Raw genomic sequence first — 20,221 nt, 5'->3', positions numbered from 1 at the left:
CTAATGGGGTGGCGTGTGGGGGAGCCACCCGCAAAGCCCCTCCTGTGGTTGGGGTTCCATCCTCCCGACCCACTGGCTCAGCCCAGTGGGGAGAAGGGTGAGCCGTGCTCCAGGCTGAAGGTGTGGAGCAGCAGGTAGGTTTAGGGGTGCCAGAGTTTCGCACGGTGGGGGATGGCTGGTCGGTGACGGAGGGTGGGAGAGTTAGGCTGGAGTGTGTTGGAGGCTGCGACGGAGTGCTAACCTCCTCCTGAGGCGGGGTGTCTAGAAGGCACTGAGGGTGTCTAGAAGGCACTAATTCTGACAGATTGGCAGTTTAGGAAGATCCTCCAGGCTCCTGAGGAAGACCATTGCAGAAGTCTTTAGCCAGATTCAGCACTGGGGAAATCTAGAAAGAGTGGGTTATGGGTAAAGTCGTGACACGGTGATGGGAGTGGGAAAGAGGGTGGCTTTAAGGAGGCAGGCCTGGTGATGGACGGGAAGTGGGGAGAGGCTGAAGGGGTGCCAGAGTGGGTGGACTACAGGGTGCAGGTGGTGCCAGGGGTGCACTGGCTGGCACAGGAGGTGCAGCAGGCGCAGGGCCGTCCCAGCAAGGATGCCCTGAGGACAGCCAGGGACTCCTCTGCCCTGTGCTCCCTGAGCCTCAGTGCCTCATCTGCCAAATGGGGACACTGTGTGAATACGCTGGCACAGCGGGGCCCATTCACTCAGCAGGATTGCCCCAAGGACAGCCAGGAAATCGAGGCTTGCAGAGACACCGCTCCTTAGCAGTGCCACCATCAACACCAGACAGTCCATGGAATGGAGGTGCCCTGCTCTTCTAAAGCCTGGCAGGAAAGCAGGGAGCAGCCCGACCTCATTCCCATTCCCCCAGCCAACAGCAGGAGGCAGGTGCCTGGCCAGGACAGCTCTGAGAGCCCATGCAAACCTCCCCGGGAGAGCAGGAGGGAGGCAGGAAAGAATCAACAATCACTAAGGTTCATAAGGTGCTCTGAAATTCTGCTAGAGCAGCCCCTGTCTGACAGCCCTGAGAAGCATTGCTCTATCCCATCCAGCCATTAGGCTTATTTACACAGGGAAAGAAACAATGAGGCCCAGACAGAGTGAGCTAATCCCTCAGCCATTCAAATAATACTGCCAGTTGGCTCCTCAAGAAAGTAAAAATACAATTAGCATATGATTGAGCAATTCCACTTCTGGGTCTATCCCCAGAAGAATTGAAAGCGGGGTCTCAGATACTTGTGCCCTGTGTTCATAACAGCATTATTCACAGAAGCCATGAGGGGCAAACAACTTGTCTTCATCAAATAATTAATGGTTAAGCAAAATGTGGTACATGCATACAATGGTACATTATTCAGCCTTAAAATGGAAGGCCATTCTGATGCATGCCACAGTGTGGGTGAACCTTGAGGGCGTTATGCAAGGAGAAATCCGCCAGTCACTAGAGGACAGATACTGTGTGATTCCATGTACATGAGGTCGCGAAAGTAGTCAAATCCACAGAGACAGAAAGTAGGAATGTGGGGGCCAGAGGCTGGGGGAAGGGGGTAGAGAGTTCATGCTTAATGGGGACAGAGCTTCGGTGTGGGGACAGTAAGAAAGACCTGGAAACAGAGTGTGGTGATGGCCGCACAACAATGTGAGTGGCTTAATGCTGCTGAATTGTGCATTTCAACATCATTAAGATGATATTTTATTTTATTTTAATTTAATTTAATTTAATTTTATTTTATTATTATTTTTTTTTTTGGTGAAGTTTCCCTCTGTCACCCAGGCTGGAGTGCAATGGCACAATCTCAGCTCACTGCAACCTCCACCTCCCTGGTTCAAGCACTTCTCCTCCCTCAGCCTCCCGAGTAGCTGGGATTACAGACATGCACCATCACGCCTGGCTAATTTTTGTATTTTTAGTAGAGATGGGGTTTCATCATCTTGGCCAGGCTGATCTCAAACTCCCACCCTCAGGTGATCCGCCCATCTCAGCCTCCCAAAGTGCTGGGATTACAGGCGTGAGCCACCACGCCCAGCCTAAGATGATACATTTTATGTTGTATATGCTTTACCACAATTTTTTTTTTAAATATAGCAAATAACACTACCACTGCCCGTGACAGTGCTCCTCTGCAGCCGCGGTGCCCAGGACCTCGCACTGTAGCTGTTCAGGGCCCCTTGGGAACGCAGTCTCCTCTTGAGGCCCAGGGATTGGAGTGGCTTCCCACGTTGCTGCTTCCTGTATGCCTTGCCAGCTCTTAGTAACTCTTTTGATCTTGCCTTGTAAATGGACCCTTCCTTCAATTACTTTCCACTGAAAAATATGATAGTAATACTGCCAGTAGAGCCGTTTTAGCCACAAGTGCAGCAGAAACGCGTGCCACCGTCTGATGGGACATCTCGAGGCTTGTGTGTGACAGCCACGCTGAGCAGTGTCAGCCTCACACCTGGAGAGGACGCTGCCCTGGAAAGGATGCAGTGTCACCCGGATCTCAGTGGTGTCCTCAGACGTTGCAGAGCGCCTCTGTCGTGAAGCCCACCTGATTCCAAGAATACACCTTAGCATGAAGCCATTTGTGACACTGATTAATAATCTTCTAAGTCCAGCAGAAGGCACCCAATCCTCCTGACAACATGATAAGCCCATGTACATGAGGACTCCCATTAACCATGACTCTCCCTAATGCAAGGGAATAAGAACCCCGTTTGGACTTGGAGTGTGAGTGATTGATTGCACAGCCTTAGAGCGGAGGTAAGAGTCTAGTCGCAGTGGAAACAGCAAGGTCGTCGCCCTGAGCGAAGGGATGCCACCCAGAGAGCTGCTGCGGCCGTGCAGTCTGCACAGGATGAGGCTCTGGGTCCTCGTGAGCCAGTCCAAGAGCCATTGCAGACTCCCCTCCATGAACCCACGGGCTAAGCCAACAGGCAGAAGAGGACTGAGGTACCTTATCCCGCTCCATTCAGCAGCAGCTCTGGACACCATTGCCTCCCCTACGTGAGACTGGCTGTGCCAAGCGCCTGCCTTTCCTAAGCAGCACTGCCGTGTGCTCCGGCCTCCGCACATCCTGTTCTCCCAACTCTCCCCGGCCTGCCCCTACCTTGGCTGCCCCTACACAACCTCAAACTCACTCAGTTATAGCTGCTTCCTGAGAAATGCCCAAGCCTGGGCTGGGCACCCTCTTCTGTGTCTCCACAAACCCCTCACACCCCTCAGCCCTGGCCCTGAGTGGCCCTCCAGTAAGCATATGTGTGTTTACTCGGTGGTGTCCCAGCTCAGCCTGAGGGCTCTGTGGGGGCAGGGAGCTCACTGCCCCATCTCTCTGAGCCCAGTGCCTGTGGAACCCTCGGGGACAGCAGACACCCGGAGACTATTAGACCTATCCTTTTTTTTTTTTTTTTTTTTTTTTTTTTTTTTGACGGAGTCTCACTCTTTCGCCCAGGCTGGAGTGCAGTGGCCCGATCTCTGCTCACTGCAAGCTCCACCTCCCGGGTTCACGCCATTCTCCTGCCTCAGCCTCCCGAGTAGCTGGGATTACAGGCGCCCGCCACCACGCCTGGCTAATTTTTTGTATTTTTAGTAGAGACAGGGTTTCACCGTTTTAGCCAGGATGGTCTCAATCTCCTGACCTCGTGATCCGCCCGCCTCAGCCTCCCAAAGTGCTGGGATTACAGGCGTGAGCCACTGCGCCCAGCCTAGACCTATCCCTTATCCATGGGCTCCATGCTGTGCCTCAGACAGGATGCTGAGTTTCACCCGCCAACCCCCGCCCCACCCACGGTGCCTGCGAGGGACTGTGTCCTTCGCCAAGGAAAAGGAGGCCACAAGCTGGAGCCCAGCCCCAGACAGTGAGGCTCCCATGAATCAGAAAGGGACTTCCAGAAACCAAAACTTCCTCAAGGGCGTCTGAGGAGTTAAAGAACCTCAACTTCTGCCCAGGCCACTGGCCAGGACTGAGCCTCCACCCTGAATAGGACTCAGCAATAGCTTTCAGCACAAAGCACAAAAACCCCCGTGGCCCGGGGAAGACACTGGGCATTGACTTAAGAAAAGCAGTGGTCCATTCAGCCTCTGTTGACTCTTTAGGGAGATACAAAAAAGCTCATAAACATTTATTACTCAGTGTGAGCAGTATATTTCATTTCATGTGGCATGTGCTTTGTTACACTGGTGACAACACTCTAAACAAGAAAGTCTCTGGAACGCTGTTCAGGCAGGTGATTCTGAGAAACAGGTTCGGGAACAGGTGCCCAGAAACAGCCCTTGAGAGTGGAAACCATGGTGGGGGAGCTGGGGTCTCAACAACACTGTATATGCTCTGGGGGGGCTGAGAGGCTGAACACAGAGGGCAGACTGTCCTCTTCCAGAACACTCAGGAGAGGGTGTGATTGACCAGACTGGGAATCTGTGACCATGGACTTCTCCTCCAAGGGGAAACCAGCGTGTGCCCGTTTCAGTGTGGACGAGAGGACAGAAGAGAGACATGGGGAGTGGGTGCTCCTGGGAGGGGTGCACTGCCCTGGAGGTGGGTCGGCCTGCTGGACCAGGCGCTTGCCGGAAGGGGATCAAATAAACATGCCGTGCTCTCTCCAAGACCCACAACTCCCCACCCTGCCTCATAGGAGGCTGGGCCAAGGAGATCAAGGGAGACCACCGTGGCCCTGATTTCCCATGGCAGCAGAAAGAACTCTCTGACTTTCCCCCCAAATTCCTGAGGCCGGAGATCCTATGACTAATGGGCTGGACCCTTCTTCCTAGCTCCAGAAAAGATGTTGGGTGGCAGGTTCCCTGGGAAAGATGGCATGGAGATTCCACAGAGCACCAACAGCAGCAAGTTGCCCTCTACTGAGAGCAGCAGCTCAGCAAGGAGCAGGCCTTTGGCCACACGAAATGAGGGGTCATGACAGGCAGTGTGGAGAGGGAGACAGGTGTGACCCAGGACTGCAAAGAGAGTCCTGGTGGGCAGCATGGAAAGGGGACAGGTGTGACCCAGGACTGCAAAGAGAGTCCTGGTGAGCAGTGTGGAGAGGGGGACAGGTGTGACTCAGGTCTCCACCCCTTCTTCTTGTGTGTGCTGGAACTACCCATTTGAACTTGCTGAATCTCCCTTTCCTTGTCTACAAATTGATAGTTTCAGTAGTGACCTCTGAGACTCACAGGGAACACATAGCAGGTGATTCGTGTGACCTGCCTGCTCCTTAAGGAGTGCAGGGAATACACAGCAGAGCCAGGCCCCTGGCCACTGGCGAGGGTTCCTTGGGCAGCCAGAGGCCACACTCCCCACAGGCCCAGCTTTCTCAGGCCTGATCCGCTTCCAACCCTGCCCGTCACCCTCCCACTGCATGTCCTGCTCAGGCCCTGCCACCTGGAACATGCTGAACTTGCCCCCATGACCCAGGGTGCTGTTGCCCTCTCTGTTCTCTCACTGCCAGTGTCCTAAGCACCCCCATGGCTGCCTCCTCCATCTCTTCCTTCTAGATGCTAATAAATTTTACCTTATTGGAGGCTGTATTCCTGGTATAAAATACCAACGTGCACACACACACCTCTGTGTCCCTTCTACCCCGTCTCACTTTTCCTTAGCAGTACTGATCATCCCATCACACTCTTTGGCTCTGGCAAGGGCAGGTCTGGGTACTGGCAGTCAGGCCCAGGCTCTCTGCCCTTGGTGCTTCTCAGAGGCAGGGAGTGTGTACATCTGCAAAGGGACTCACAGCCTCACCAGTGCCAGGCTCCTCTCAGGCTCACAGTCCTCCAAAGCCCCAGCTCCTCTGCCTCAGAGGGTCGCAGCCTGTGCCTTCCCAGGGCAGCTGTGCCTTCCCAGGTGAGCCTAGGGCCGCCCTGTCCTTTCCCCTCCTCTGCTCCTCCAGAGTCCAAGGCCCAGCCCCACCACAGACAGCGATCAGCAGGGCTCTCCCAAAGAAGGCAGATTCTAGCACCACAGCAGAACAGATGCAGTGTGATTGGAAAGTGCCAAAGACGAGCGAGGAAGATGAAAGGGAAAGTGGTGAGAGCTACAAAATTCACATCCAACCTCCTTTAATCACAGCTCGGGTTTTAATCACCCCAGGCGGCTTCAGAAGCGCAGTGTTTAATGTGTTTCCTTAACAGCCTCATCGAGGTCCTGGAGGTCTGGAGCGCTTGACTGGGAATGGAGACGTATGGGTCCCCTCCATGCCTGGTCTCCCCCCAGTGGAGAACCCCAAGGACAGCTTGTCTCTGCCTCAGTGTCTCCGCTCTTCTTCACTCGTGCTGGCTGAACGGAGGAATCGGAAGGCATCCAGGGCTTGTCTCTGCCTCAGTGCCTCTGCTGTTCTTCACTCGTGCTGGTCGAATGGAGGAATCGGAAGGCATCCAGGCATGTCTTCATGTAAAGGAGCACAAACACACCCTTCAGCTGCATTTTCCTCTAAGACAGAGGTCTTCGGGGAGTACAGCAGAAATATCTTGCTTTAGAACCTGTCAGTAAACACTTGGGCCATGGGAACACATTGCTATGGCCTCTGCAGCACCTTGGAAGGGGCCCTTGAAAGTCAGTGGCATGAAGTCACTACCTTCCATGCATCCACCCAGGGCACACGCCCAGGGCACTACCTTCCATGCACCCGCCCAGGGTGCCTAGGAAGCCTTCCCATGCCTGTGTCACAGTGGCCTGCAGGGGATGGAAGACACAACTATTATATCTACATGAATAGAACAGAGACACAGATGTGGACCTGTCTGTGTACATACTCAGAAACAGGCTCACACAGATTAAGGGGATATGTGTGCACCCACCCACTTATCTCCACACACACTCACTCACACCAATGTACCATTGACCCCAATGGTCACTTACCCACCAAAGTCCCAAGAGATGCCACCAAGGGAGGACTCTTTTCTTGAGGTGCTCTTTGGTAGTAAAACAAGTCATCCCAACAATTGAAAGACGTGTTGATGATAGCCAGAGCTGGAAATGGCCTCATCAGTTTTACTGTGTGTTCACAAAGGATTTATCAAGAGCGCCAGGGTCCCCAGACACTGGGTGGTCCCCAAACTTGAGGATGACAGGCACCGATCCACCATGGTTTCATGCTGGCCCATTCACCAGGGCCACGTCCTTCCTCACATACCTGAGACTGATGCTTTCTCAAATGATGCTGCAAGGACCCTGGCCCACATCCATCTCCCAACTAAGGCCCAGACATCCAGACTCATCACCACAGTCAAGCAGGAGCCCTGGAATCAGGTGAGGCTCTATGATGGAGAAGGAGTCAACTGAACCTGCATGGCCCCACAAGGAGCCAGAGGGAATGTGCCTAGAGCAAGGAGATACAACCTTATGTCTGCTGCAAACAACCCTTCCTGACAGCACAGCTGGGACCCACATGCAAAATCCCTTTCTACCCCTCTGACATGGCACCAAAGGGGCCACAGAGCCCTGGCAGCCTGGTCTAAGTGCCCAGGCCTTGGGTCCAGCTATTGTGGGGAGCTCAGGGCAAGGTCCCTACCCCCATCTCCGTGTGCCCAGAGCTAGTGTACCAGGCACAGAGTGGCATTCAATATAGACTTGCTGAACTGAGCAGAGCCGGCCTCCTGGGAACTGCTGCCAGCATTCCCTATCTCCTGTTGTGGTCCCTGTGTAGTGGCACTGAGGACAATGGAAAGGAAGCAGGATATCTATGTCTCATTTGGAAATGGCATGGGAGCACCTGAAATTTTAGAGAGAAGACCAAGGGGTGAACTAAGAGCAGATAGCTTCAAGGGAACAAGCCCGGCCTTCTAGTCAGGCACCTTCTGTTTAAAGCCCTGGTCTGGGGGTATTTCCTGGATGTCAGTGCTTAAGCTTCCCGCGTAGCTTTGATGTTCTTGCTGATGAACTGGAAATTGTTAAATCTGTGTCAGAGGCTCTTCTGAGAGCTAAATGAGATGAGGTACCCACATCAGGCAAGATAAGCTGCAGGAGGCATAGCCAGCCACTCACTCATTCACGCTCTCACGTCCTCTGCAGTCCACTGGGGATCCTGTGGCAGGCGCCCTCCTCCCAGGCCCCAGGCAGGCAGAGTGGCTGTCACCCTAGGAATGTGGCTGCAGAGGCAGATGGGAAAAGAGCGCCCCGGAGCAGGGAGCATGGTCTCCAACTCACACTCTCCTCCTGACCACAGCAAACTCTCAGCTGTGCCCTGGGTCAGCAGGGTGGGGAAGTGTAGTTCTGGAAAAGAGAGAGAAGCCAATCTTTGGGAGTAGCCCTAAGGAAACCAAGAGCCTGGCTCTAGTACAGCCTGGGACACTCCAGATACTCAAAACAGCACCAGCTCCCTTTCCCTGTGTTTAAGGTGTGGCTTTCAAATAGTGAGATTGTTACCCTGGTGAGCTGGTAGGGTCTGTTTTTTCTTAAAGCCAGTCCCTCTCCTGCCCCCAGCCACAGGAGAGCACCAGAGCAAGGGGAACCACCCACAGGAGAAAAGTGGAGCCCCTAGTGGGAATATTTCTCAAAGGCTCTGGAAGAGGCAGGAGGCCAGGACCCAGATTGGCCGCAAGGACAGGAATGGTGTTCCCCATGGGAGTGGTCTGATGGCAACAGCAAGGTGACTGAAGTGGAATTCGGTAACATGCATGCGGAGGCTGGATGGAAAGCTGTGATACTGGAATGGACCCACACCCCTTCCAATTCACCCGTTAATGTAAAACAAATCCAATTAAAAGTGCAAAAAGAATTTGAACTACTAAGATTGAGTCTGGCTGAACATAAGAGAAATCTAACTATAGTAACTTAACAAAAAAGCATTTATTTTTTCTTTTAGTGGAAAGTTTGAAGTTAGACAATAAAGGACTGGTACGAACACCATATGATGCCAAAGGGAACCCTATGTTCCCATATATTTTTGTTGTCTTTCTGTATCCTGTTACATCAGCTGTTCCACATGCACAAGGTAGCTGCTGCTGCTCCAGACATCTCAGCCACATTCCAGGCAGGACAGAAGGGGAAAAGGTGCACACCGGATAAATATGTCCCTTTTTTATCAGAAAACAAAGTTTTTTCTGGTAGCCTAGTGGGAAAAATTTCACTTTATCTCATTGGTAAGAACTGAGTCAACATGTCCATCTATGCCATGAGGGAGTCTAGAAAAAGAGAATGGAAATTAGGCAATTAGCAACGAGGAGTTTCAGAACTCAATAAAATAGTTCTAAATCTCACCCGTGAACAAAGCAGGAGAAAAAAAATAAGAAACAGTACAATATTGAGGGGGAAAAGGTACTGCCTTATCTAAACAATTGACTTAGCAAATAAATTAGATTAGATCTCACCCTTTTAGCATGTATTAAACAAATTACAGAGGCACTAAATAATTAAATGTAAAAACAGAGCCACAGAATGACTTAACAGATACATAGGCAATTCTGCGAGGCTGAGATATATTTTTAAACCTGATACCAAAGACAAAATCATAAAGAATGACAGATTCAACTGCATTGAGAGTAAATACATTTGAGTAGCCAAATGCAAAATTATAAAGTTAAAAGACAAACATCATTTAGGGAAATATTTGCTGTGTTCACATAATTGTTAATATTGCCCAATGTACAGACTTTCTGCAAATCAATAAGAAAAAGACAAGAAGCAAATGCTTAGCTTATAAAAGAAGAAATTTCTATGTGGCATAGAAAACAATGAGACGGCTTCCACTCCCTAATAGTCAAGGGAATCCTGGTTAAAGAAACAATGGATTGCTACTCTTTACCTCCAATTCATGCATATTTTTTAGTCAATGATTTGGAAGTTGTAGGATTATAGTTGGTTTTTATATTCTCTTATTGTCTGACTCCTGCAATGTGAAGTACGACTTGTTTAATATACAAGTTATTTTAAACAGTGTGAAACGTGCCTCATAACTACACAATTCCACCTCGAGAATGTGGACTCAGCCCTCCCGAGCCAGAACGTGACTTCCTGTCCCCCCAGAGGTATTTATGGTACATCCGCAATGTGCACGGTGCTGTGAGAGACGTTTAAGTGTGAGACGCGATGCTCATCAGGGCGTTCAGGGACACCGGGGCCCAGTCCACATGCTCGGGCCCCTGCAGATTCTTCCCTCAGCTTGGCCTTGCCACACCGAGCCAGGTGTGTTTGCATCTCAGAGCATGTGTTGCTCATGGACCCCAATGCCTTGGTGACTCATTGCCCTTTGTTCATGTAAGATATGCAGCTCAGACCTCTGCTCCTCCACACAGCCTTCCTGGCATTCCCGTGCTGTAGGCGTAGGTGGGGACCCCACCTCTGTGTTCCCACAGTTCTTGGTTAGCGGTGGCAGGTGCACATCCTCACTTCTGTACTTCCAGTGTCTAACACAGAGTAGGTGCTCAGCTTGCAGAAGGGACGGAGGGAGGGAGGGAGGAGGGAGGTGGGGAGGAAGAGTAAATGCTCTGCTCCTGCCAAAACCAAGCACAGACTATGGGCTATGGGCACTCACAGGAGGGAGCGACCCCTCTTGTGAAAAGGCCAGGGCATCCAAGAGGACAGAGGCCTGAGCTGGATTTATGAAAAAGACGGAGGGGAGGAGGTGGTGGAGGGAGCCCCGATGCAGGAAGTACATGGAGCACGGAGGAGAGACCCAAGCACAGGAGCCTGGAGCAAGTCTGTGGACCAAGGACCATCCCTGCACCCCCATCCTGTGCCCCCACGCTCTGTCTCCTGGGCCTGAAGAGCAGCTGCTGATGTGACACCAACTCAGCCGGCAACGAGGCCATTCCAAAGGTTCTACAGGACAGCCAAGCCTCATCCATCTCGTGCCCTGAGACTTGGCCATGTTTTCTTCCAGAGCCTATTAGCAGAGTGTCCTCTTGCTTGTCTGCAAAGAATGAAGCTCTTTTTTTGCTCCATAGGAGCTGACTCTGCAGGGGAGAGGCGGTCACAGGCACAGAGGCACAGTCTCCATTAATCTAAACAGGAGAAATGTCGGCATGGAGGCCACAGGAAGGCTATGAGTGTTTACATCAACAGACATGCATTTAGAGTGCCCACAGACCCCGCTCAGCTACTGGTGCACACAGAAAACATTCACTGAGCCCTCCTGGCACAGGCCCCCGACACAGGGCTAGAAACCGGAGGTACGGGACAGGGAACTCGCAGGAGCTGGGAGCTGATCCTGCAAGCCAGGTGAGCCCAGGGAGAGTCTTAACTAGGCATTGAAAAGGTCACATGTCCATTTTCTAGAAGCCACGTGGAGAGTGGATGGGAACAGAAGTGCCTCTAGAAGCCAGTGGTGCCGGCATCACCGACTGTGGTGGGAATGGATGGGAGGTGTTTCAGGAAGAAGGTAAGTGGTTACACAGGTGGCCTGTGGAGAGAGGCTGGTCTGAGTTAATGGCACTGATGCCTGGAGGATGCCAGTGCCCCAAATGGACCTGCAAATGCCAGGTCTGAGGGGACGGAATGTCGTCAGGATGGGCTCTTCAGGTGGGTATAGTGATGCCAAGACCCCTTGGTAGACACTGCACGTTTGCAAACGCCCTGCTGTTCCCAGGAAGCCAGTCCCTGGGGCTTCCCCTGTGAAGCAGTCAGGTCTCACGTGCTCAGCCTGAGCTGGAGAGACATTCTTTTAAGCAAGAGCATGACTACGATGGCACTTCTTGTGAGGAGAAGGAAATGATGTTTAGAAGGCATGTTCCAGGAGCCCAGTTCTGAAAGGGACTTCTGGGGGACTCTGCTGGGGGACCAAGAACACATACAGTGGAGAGCAGACAATGTCACCTGTGCACGCTGCACTATGTCCAGCCATCCTGAGGCCCCACCCCCTGTGCCACAGTACCATGCCCACTCACCTCTATTTTCTCATTTTACTATGACTCATCCCTCCAGGAGCTAGAACCATGGCACGCTCTTTCTGCGCACTCACCAGCACTGAGCATGTTTGTCGCCCCAGGAGTGAGGACAACTCAGACAACATGGACTTAAAGCAGAAACTCCCCCTGGAGAGCCTGGCTGGGGGTGTGCTCTGCACCCCTTGCAACCAGGCCTCCTGCCTCACTGAGAAGCCTCCTGCCCCAACAGTCACCAGGGAAGCTGGCGGTTGGCACAGCCTCACTCCAGCTCATTGATCACAGGTGTCCTGTCAGGAGCACAAACAAAATGAAGTTTTCTGGATGTCTAATAGTCTAGAAGCATGAAGGAGATGTCATTCAGCTGCCACTGTCAGCTAGTGCATGTGAGCCACAGACCTCCGTCTTTCCAGCACACAGGCACTAGAGCACAGGGACAGCGATGGCCCTGGCGTGGACGTGCAGGACGGGGACCAAGCCTCGCTCCCATCTTCTTTATTTCAAAGGGTCTCAGCTCAGGGCACAGAAGCCCTTGCAAAATGTGCTGAAGGGCTGAGAGTGTCCTTGCCCAGAGTCCATGCTGCCGTGGGCACACTTTTTTGGCCTTGTCCCCTGGGTCTTTTTATGAGGTGCACACAGGGACCAGAGCTAAAGCCCACTGCACAACCCTCTCCCCAGGCCTCACCATCGCTCCCCGCTTTCACCTCCCACAGTTGCTCTGCCTGTCACTTCTTTATTGGCTCTCAGATTGGGCCAGCCCCTTCCCTGTGTCTCTTCCATGGTGGAAAATTTGGCAGCCTTTCCATCTCTTCCATCCCCTTTTCTAACAACTATAAATGGCTCTGCCTGAGGGAGCCCCATCAAATGACAGATACCTTTTTTTGCTCCTGCTTCTTTCTGTCTGGAGTGGAAACTTGAGCCCGCACAGTGTCTCCCTCCCCTGACAGAACACAGACCAGCCTTGCAGGACCAGCGAGGCTGCCCCACATTGCACAGGCCACCAGGCCAGAGCTGGGGGACAACACAGGGCGTGGACAGCCTGACGCATCCACATTTCCTTTCACAGTAGACCCTCTAGGGCTGCAGCTGACTGCAAATATAGCCTCCCTTCCAGCCCCCTCACTGACCACTGCATTTCAACCATCCCACGCAACCAGAACACCCGGAGGGGTCTCTCCCACCTCCAGGGTCCCACCACATTCTGCTCATGGGGCCAACTGTTAGCAAGGGGCAAGGTGAGATGTGGATAGCCCTCAGAGAACCATCCAGCAGGAAGGCAGAGGCCCAGGTTGGCCAGGTGCCCACAGCCCAGCCTCCCTCCATCCCAAAGTGAGCTTTGCTTGTTGCAGGGATGGGTGTGTTCCACCTTGGCTGCACTCCAGAAGGGGGTCCTTGCTCTCTATGGCCTCATGCATTTATAGGTAGGGTGGCCAAGTAACTCATATAACTTATTATCCAAACTGGAGCACTAATAATAACTACGAGGTGCTATTAATAACTCTGCTGGGGCAATAGATATGCATTGAGACAGATAAGCCGGGACATGTGTTTTATTCATCAAGGAGTTGGGAGGGGCAGGGATTGCCTAACTGGTTTGAAAGGCTGTGCACTTTGCAATAGGAATTACAGACCCAATAAGTAAGAAATGCACTGTTCCTAGGTGTTGATGGCCTCAAGGGCTAGTGTATCAGCACAGGTGCCTGCAGAGGCCCTGGGAGCCAGCCATGGGATAACTACCAGTTCATCTGGAAGACCACTAGCTCATCTCTCACCAATGCCATTTCTATTCATCACAAAAGCTCTGCAAATTAAGAATTGTGGCCAGCTCTTAAAGATGCAATGCCTGGGTATAGGAGCAGTTCATTAGCTCCCCGAGGCCATTCAACTGGCGAGCCCAACATCCTCCCCAGTCCCTGTGGCCTCCTATTGATGTCATTAAAATCTGATGATGCAGCTTTTCTTTCTGTTTCAAAACCATACCAAGCTCAACGTCCCATCCGAGCTCATCCATCTTCTCCTTAAGTCAGCAGTTTTCTCCCAAAGCCTGTTCTCTGCCAGGGCACTCCTGCTACATCTCTCCCCATCCGCGCAGAAGGGAGCTGCTGGGTTGGATTGGATGACATTTGATGGGGCCAGGCTGTGGTGTGAAGACTTGCTGCATGGTCATAATCAAAAGTTGGCTAGATCCAAAGAAAATCTTGGACAAGGATGGCCAGAGTCCGGAGTCACTGACGCTGTGGCTCAGGGACGCTTGGCCCTATGGTCAGCCTGGACAGATGGGGTCAAGTTCCAGGGCCCAGGGGGAGAGGCCACTGCCCATGATCCAGGCCTCAGGAACTCAGGGGTCAGATGAGCAGCGGGTGCACACAGGGCACACAGAGAATCCGCCAAGAGAGACGAGGAGGATGAGCAGCGGGTGCACACAGGGCACACAGAGAATCCGCCAAGAGAGACGAGGAGGCCCCAGGACCCAGGACAGCAATGCAGGGCCAGAGCAGGTTCAGGGAGAGAGGGGCCCACGAAGTCCACTTCTTTCCCTATGCGAATGACATGAGCCATTCACCCTCGTTGAATGATTTAGAACATCAGAAAATCTAAAAGTAAAAGAAAATTGCTCGCAATCCCAGGCCAAGTCAATATTAATGTTGATCTTTAATAAGTTGTCTTCAATCTATTTCATAAGTTTTCAAGACTGAGTTGTTACATATAATAATGCTACTTAATTTTTCACATACTTATCCCATTCTGCTTTTTCCTGAAAACATTACATAATGTAAGTGCTTTTCCATCTTATAAAACAACCAGTGGTCATCATCCAATGTAAGTTCCAAGATGTTCCATCAAATGAATGTGCCCTAATTTCCTTTGTGGTTCACCTATTAATGCACATCGAGTTTGTCCTCCATTTTCACTATTATCAATAAGAACTGAAAACACACAGATAGTCTTAAAACTTTGTCCTCATTTTAGATTAACTTCTCAGGATGGTGACGACGAGACAGAAGCTCAGTAAGACTTTAAGACCTGCGGTACATACGGCCAGACTGCTTTCCATAATCTCTAGATGACTGATTTACCTGTATTTCAGCAGTGCATATTCTGTTCTTGAGCCTTTAAATCACTGATTTGAAACATCCAACAACATTTCCTGAGCACTTTCTATACACCAGACCCTCAGCCACAGACAGCCATGTCCTACCCAAAAGCAGCAGTGTTGGTCCCTGCCCAGCCTTCCACTGAGCCCCAAGGGGGCAAATCGGCACAGGCCACCTTGCACATGACAGGGATAGAGACCTCCAACAGTCACACACAGTTCCAGCACATGGCTGAGAGGCTGTGGTCAGCCCCATGCCAGTGCAGGCGGAATGATGCAGCCAGCAGCCTCGTCGGCCTCACTCTAAGTAAGCTGAACTGACCCACACACAGAGAGGAGTGTGATCAAAGGGACTGTGTTAAATGGAACCATATGAAATTGCCAATAATCTACCATTTTCATCTTCAAAAATGGAAATTTCATACAGTTACAACTAATGCCATTTATGAAAAATATTCATCACACAGAATTTGAGAGAACAACAAGGACTCTGGAGTTTGAATTTCTAAGTTTGAATCTTGGCTACATGGTTCATTTACTGGGCAACGATGGTCAAGTTACTTATCTTCTCTGAGTCCATAAAAAAAGTTAACTATGTCCTTGTAGGTAAGCCAGAGCCAGCTCTATGGGCCTGCAGCCTGTGCTGCCACAGGGGTTAGTGCTCAGAAGGGCCCAATGTGGTTTAATGCTCTACTATTCCTGTTTTGAAATCCATAGTAATTACTGAAGAGCTCTGTTTGTCACATTGCACTGGGCCCTGCAAATTTTACAGCCAAGCCTGCATTCAGCCCTTAAGACAAGTACCTAAAACGGTGTTTGCAGGGTGGTAGATACTGAGTGTCCCTTCCTGGTCCCTTACCTTGGTATATTTAAGATATAATTTGTACCCATCCTTAAAAAATCCATTTCTGCAACAGACATAAGAGAAAGGAAAAGGTGTGTTTGTTGGACAGCTTACATGTTTCTTGCCTAATGGTGCAGGTGGCAAATATCCAACTCAGATACTCCTCAGTCACCTATTGCTCGTGGGCACCATGCTGTAGGGGCCAAGAACATTCCCTTTACCCTTGGAAGGTTCACTGAAAACCAACTGACAAAGGTAGATTAACAGGAGAAATGGCATGCACACATTTTATTCATGTGCTTGGGAGTCATACAAACATCTCAAAGAAAGACAAGATGGTTAATGCTTTTTTACCATCTTGAGGTTACAGAATGTTAAAAGAAAAACATTAGGCAAATTAAATTTAACAGACTTTAGTTGAGCAAAGACTATTTGCAAATTGGGCAGCCCCTCACCTCCAAATTAGAATAGGTTCAGAGAGACTCCAGCCCTGCCATGTGGTCAGAGATTCATGGATAAAAAAAGGAAAAGGACGTACAGAAAACAGAAGTGAGGTACAGAAACAGCCAGATTGGTCCCAGCTCAGCTTTGCCTTATTTAAATGCAGTTTGAATAGTTGGCCACCTGTGATTTGCTGAAATTCAGTGATTAGTACAAGACTAGGTTATGTCTGTTCACACATCCAGTTAGGGTACAGTTCACACTTACAGAGAAACCTTTAGGCCAAACTTAAAATAGTAAGGAGGCAGCTGTAGGCTAAAACAGGAAGAAAATGGGGGCTTCAAGCATGGCCACAGATGGGTTATGGTGCTAAATCACGTTACTGGAGGGGGAGCGGGGTCTAGCTGACAAAGGTGGTCTCGTGTAGGTGAAAGCTCACAGATAGCAGCCCTCAGACAGCATAGATGGTGAATGTTTCTTTTGGACCTTTGTGGATGTCAGATTCTTGGTTAATCTCTCCTTGATAGGATAATGGAGGCCTCTGAGAATAGCCTGGCTGCATCGATGCAGATTCTCTACAGATGCAAATCTCCCCTCAATAGCCAGCTTTTCAATTCTTCTTGCATTCGCAGCCCTTCTGAATAGCCGTCTTGAAATATATCAAAGAAGCATATTTTGAGGTGAAATATTTTGGTTTCCTCAGCACTCAGCCTGGACACAGGCCCTGCTGGCAAAAAGGTCACAGCCCTGCAAGATGGCCTGGTGTGGACAAACAGCTGTGGCCTGAGAGTAACTTGTGTTCAGAGAGCTGTGGGAACCCCTGAGCAGGAGCCCCTGAATCCAGCTGGGAACTGAGCATCAGGGCAAGCCACCAGGGCTGGGCGTTAGAGGATGCTGGGGGTGCCAAGTTCTCGGGCAGTGGGAAAGGGGTGCAGGGGGATGATGATGGAGGCAGACAGCAGAGCGCAAGCACAGGCCTCACCGCTGCACCTCCTGCCCTCCTGCAGGCTGTGAACGCCTGAGCTGACTCAAGCCTGCACCTGGCACAGCCTCCCTGGGGCACCCTCTTCATGCCACGTTCCCCTCGTCTCACTCCTGCCGTGGCTGCAAGCACCTCCGGATGGATAAATCCCAGATCTGGATCCCCCACTGAGGAGTCTTCTCCAAGTTGTCCTCTGTATCTTCTAAGGCTTGCAGAACATTTCCACCGGAATGCTACAGCTGTGGGGCTCCAGCCATGCCCACACTGCACACACTCAGTACCAAGCCCAACACTCTGGCCTGGCCTGCCCAAGTACCACGCTCTTCCTGCTGGCCCTGCCACAGCTCTGGCCTGGCCCACAGCCCCCCAGGCTATACTCACTCTTCACCCCGACCAAATTGGAGAGTTGAGCAGAGTCTCTTCTCCGAGCCTGGGCACACCACCAGGGCTCTCCTGACCGGGCACCCCTGACACTGTGTGCTTATCTCCCCTGTGCAGGTGCCCATTGGGTCCTGGGGGTGCCACCGCATTTTCAGGGCTCAGCACGAGGCTGCACATGCCAGCCACTGAAATGGCACAGAGTGTATGTATTTCCTGATGTTCCTGCTAACCCTGAGTTTCCCTCTGATTCCTGGTCTTGAAGCTTGGCGCGTCATCCACCCAGCTGTCCATGCTGGAGCTCTAGACATGAGCCTACATTTTTCCCTTTGCTTCCTCCCTACATCCAGCAGCCACTGCCCCATGGTCTCTTCTTCAACACCTGCCCCTCCGCCCACTCTCATTGTCCCACAGCCCTTTGGGCCTGGGCTGTATCTTGCTTTTGTAAGCCACCATGGTGGCACACTCTCAGGGCGCCCTTGCACTCACCATGCCTGCCTTCCACCTCTCCTTCACACTGGCTCCAGGACAGGGTAATCCTTAAGTTTGTGTTGGCCACATCACTCCCTGCTCATATCTCCAGTCACTCACCATAGTCTGAACTCCTCAACATGGTGGCCTATGTCTTTGCAGCTTCCAGGAGCCTTGTCAAACCCTGTGCCCAGTCACCCTGTGAGACCTGCATTCCTCAAAGAGTCCAAGCATGCACTGGCTCCCTATCTCCATGCCTCTCGCTGCCTCTTCCCACCTGCCCAGCTCCACCTCAGTGTCTCCACCTTGGCCTTAATGTCTTAACACAAAGCTCCCCTGTAGCAGGTCTTCGGCCGCAGACCCAGCACCTGCCCCGCACTGCCCCAGGGGCCCCTGCTCTATGCCTAGCCACAGTGGCTTTGATGACCACATCCTCATCAAGACTCCTTTAGGCTGCTTGCTGCCTACTCTGAGTCCTCATCTGACACAGTGTCCGGCTCCTGCTCAGCCAATGAAAGAACAAACAAACAGGAGGCCTTAAGATGCTGCTGGCTTTCTTTCCATTACATGGCTACGTATTCTTTCTCTTGCTTTGATCATTGTACCTGGTTGATTTCTCCTAAAAGCCTCTCTAGGGGAAGAATAACTATTAGATGGCTTGTTCAGGATGGTTGCCTTCTCCAGGGACCCCACACATTCTTAACTCTGGAGCCCTGGACTTCCCATTAAGACTAGGATTAATGTAGTAAGTTGTATTACTTATACAGGACACAATGGTTTCAAGATTTCGTTTTACACTTTATCACATCTAATCCTTCCATAAACAATTTCCAGAATCGAATACAGGTGTGTGGTTTTTTTCTCTTGCTTCTCCTCTATTCCCCCTCCCCCTTCTCTTCTTCCTACTTGTTCTCCTTCTTTGTGAACCCAGCCCTGCTCATTCTGACCTTACTATAGTGCCTTGAACAGTAAATATGAAACTCCAGAGGTCCAACCAAGGCTGCAAAGTGTCCACATTAAACCAATACTCATATTCCACTAATGGATATGGGTGTTCAGCTCCTCGCAGGAACATATGTCAAACAGTAGAGCAAACCTCCTTAAACCCTGAGTCAGGCAGCCAATCAGCTGAAGCTTGGATCAAAAATGAGATGAAAGCCAGATCTTTCTTGAGCAGGAATGCATGCATAACTCCAGAGGCCTGGAAGGTTTTCCTATATTCTAGAACCTATAGTCTAAGATAATCTTCCAGGCCTCTGGAGTTAAGCATGCATTCCTGCTCAAGAATGCAATATACCTTGATATTTAGCAATATTTTTATAAAAGTGATATAAGGAACTTCTGGAATGGTGGTGAAAGGCCTCCAAAATCTACTCCTTCGTAAAATCAATGAGAATCTGACAAAATAAACTTTTTCAGGACTCTTAAAATTAACCAAAAGCTTACAACAATGCAAGAAGTATCGATCCAAGAAAACTGGTTGCATCTCAGTAAGAATAGTTAGCCTTGTGGTTTTAACTTGCTCTATTCCCTGCCTTCTCTCCCCAGCTCCCCAGTAGCCTTGAAAATCAGCAGTCTTGCAATATCAGTAGTTGTAAAAACCATCATCACAGCAGCAACTAAAGGGGTCAGCCAGAGTTTGAAGGGCTTCAGAAAGTCCCATCTGGAGGGCCTATCATTATCTGACCTGACTCCGGAGCTCACTCTGTGCAAAGAGCCCTGACCCCAGGGCATCTGTCAAAAATAATCAGTGGTAGTTGTTTAACATTGTCACTGAAGTAGTGATGACAGTTGGGGCAAACAAGTATCTGGCCAAAAACTTAAAAGGAAGACCTGGGGAAAAGATGTCCATGATGACTTTGACCCATATTCCTAAGGGTCTAGAAGGACATGTACATATACAGGGAAGTGTGCATACTTGGAAGTGATCTGAAAAGACCCTAACTTCTCACCTCTGGCAGAACATAGGCCCCGCACTAGCAGGAAGTGAAGGCCAAGACAGAGTTGCAAATTATCACAATGAAGTTATGCCTCAACACCCACACAAAGCCCCAAATACATTAAAAAAAAAAAAAAAAAAAAAAAACTAAAGAATGAAGGGAAGAATACACAAAAATAGACAGCTCAGAAATATAATTGGAAACTTCAATACCCCACCTTTAACAGTGGATAGAACAACTAGGCAAAAATCAGCACGGAATAGAAGACTTTAACAACACTGTC

The 20,221-nt window shown here is 50.6% G+C and overlaps 3 annotated features.

Moving 5' to 3' along the window:
• Window positions 10,897-12,096: an enhancer, noted in NCBI's record as "BRD4-independent group 4 enhancer chr2:129533429-129534628 (GRCh37/hg19 assembly coordinates)". NCBI's record gives its function as "activates an origin of replication core promoter dependent on BRD2, P300/CBP, MED14 and CDK7 cofactors, and independent of BRD4, by STARR-seq in HCT116 cells {active_cell/tissue: HCT116}" and the evidence as "EXISTENCE:reporter gene assay evidence [ECO:0000049][PMID:35650434]".
• Window positions 16,676-17,214: an enhancer, noted in NCBI's record as "H3K4me1 hESC enhancer chr2:129528311-129528849 (GRCh37/hg19 assembly coordinates)". NCBI's record gives its function as "activates a minimal SCP1, AML or CMV promoter by ChIP-STARR-seq in naive H9 embryonic stem cells {active_cell/tissue: H9 hESC(naive)}" and the evidence as "EXISTENCE:reporter gene assay evidence [ECO:0000049][PMID:30033119]".
• Window positions 17,215-17,753: an enhancer, noted in NCBI's record as "H3K4me1 hESC enhancer chr2:129527772-129528310 (GRCh37/hg19 assembly coordinates)". NCBI's record gives its function as "activates a minimal SCP1, AML or CMV promoter by ChIP-STARR-seq in naive H9 embryonic stem cells {active_cell/tissue: H9 hESC(naive)}" and the evidence as "EXISTENCE:reporter gene assay evidence [ECO:0000049][PMID:30033119]".

The sequence above is a fragment of the Homo sapiens genome, chromosome 2, assembly GCF_000001405.40.
Source record: "Homo sapiens chromosome 2, GRCh38.p14 Primary Assembly".
In the NCBI taxonomy this organism is placed as follows: domain Eukaryota; kingdom Metazoa; phylum Chordata; class Mammalia; order Primates; family Hominidae; genus Homo; species Homo sapiens.
Note: the sequence above shows the minus strand (reverse complement) of the source record. Positions and strands in the feature narration are given on the sequence as shown.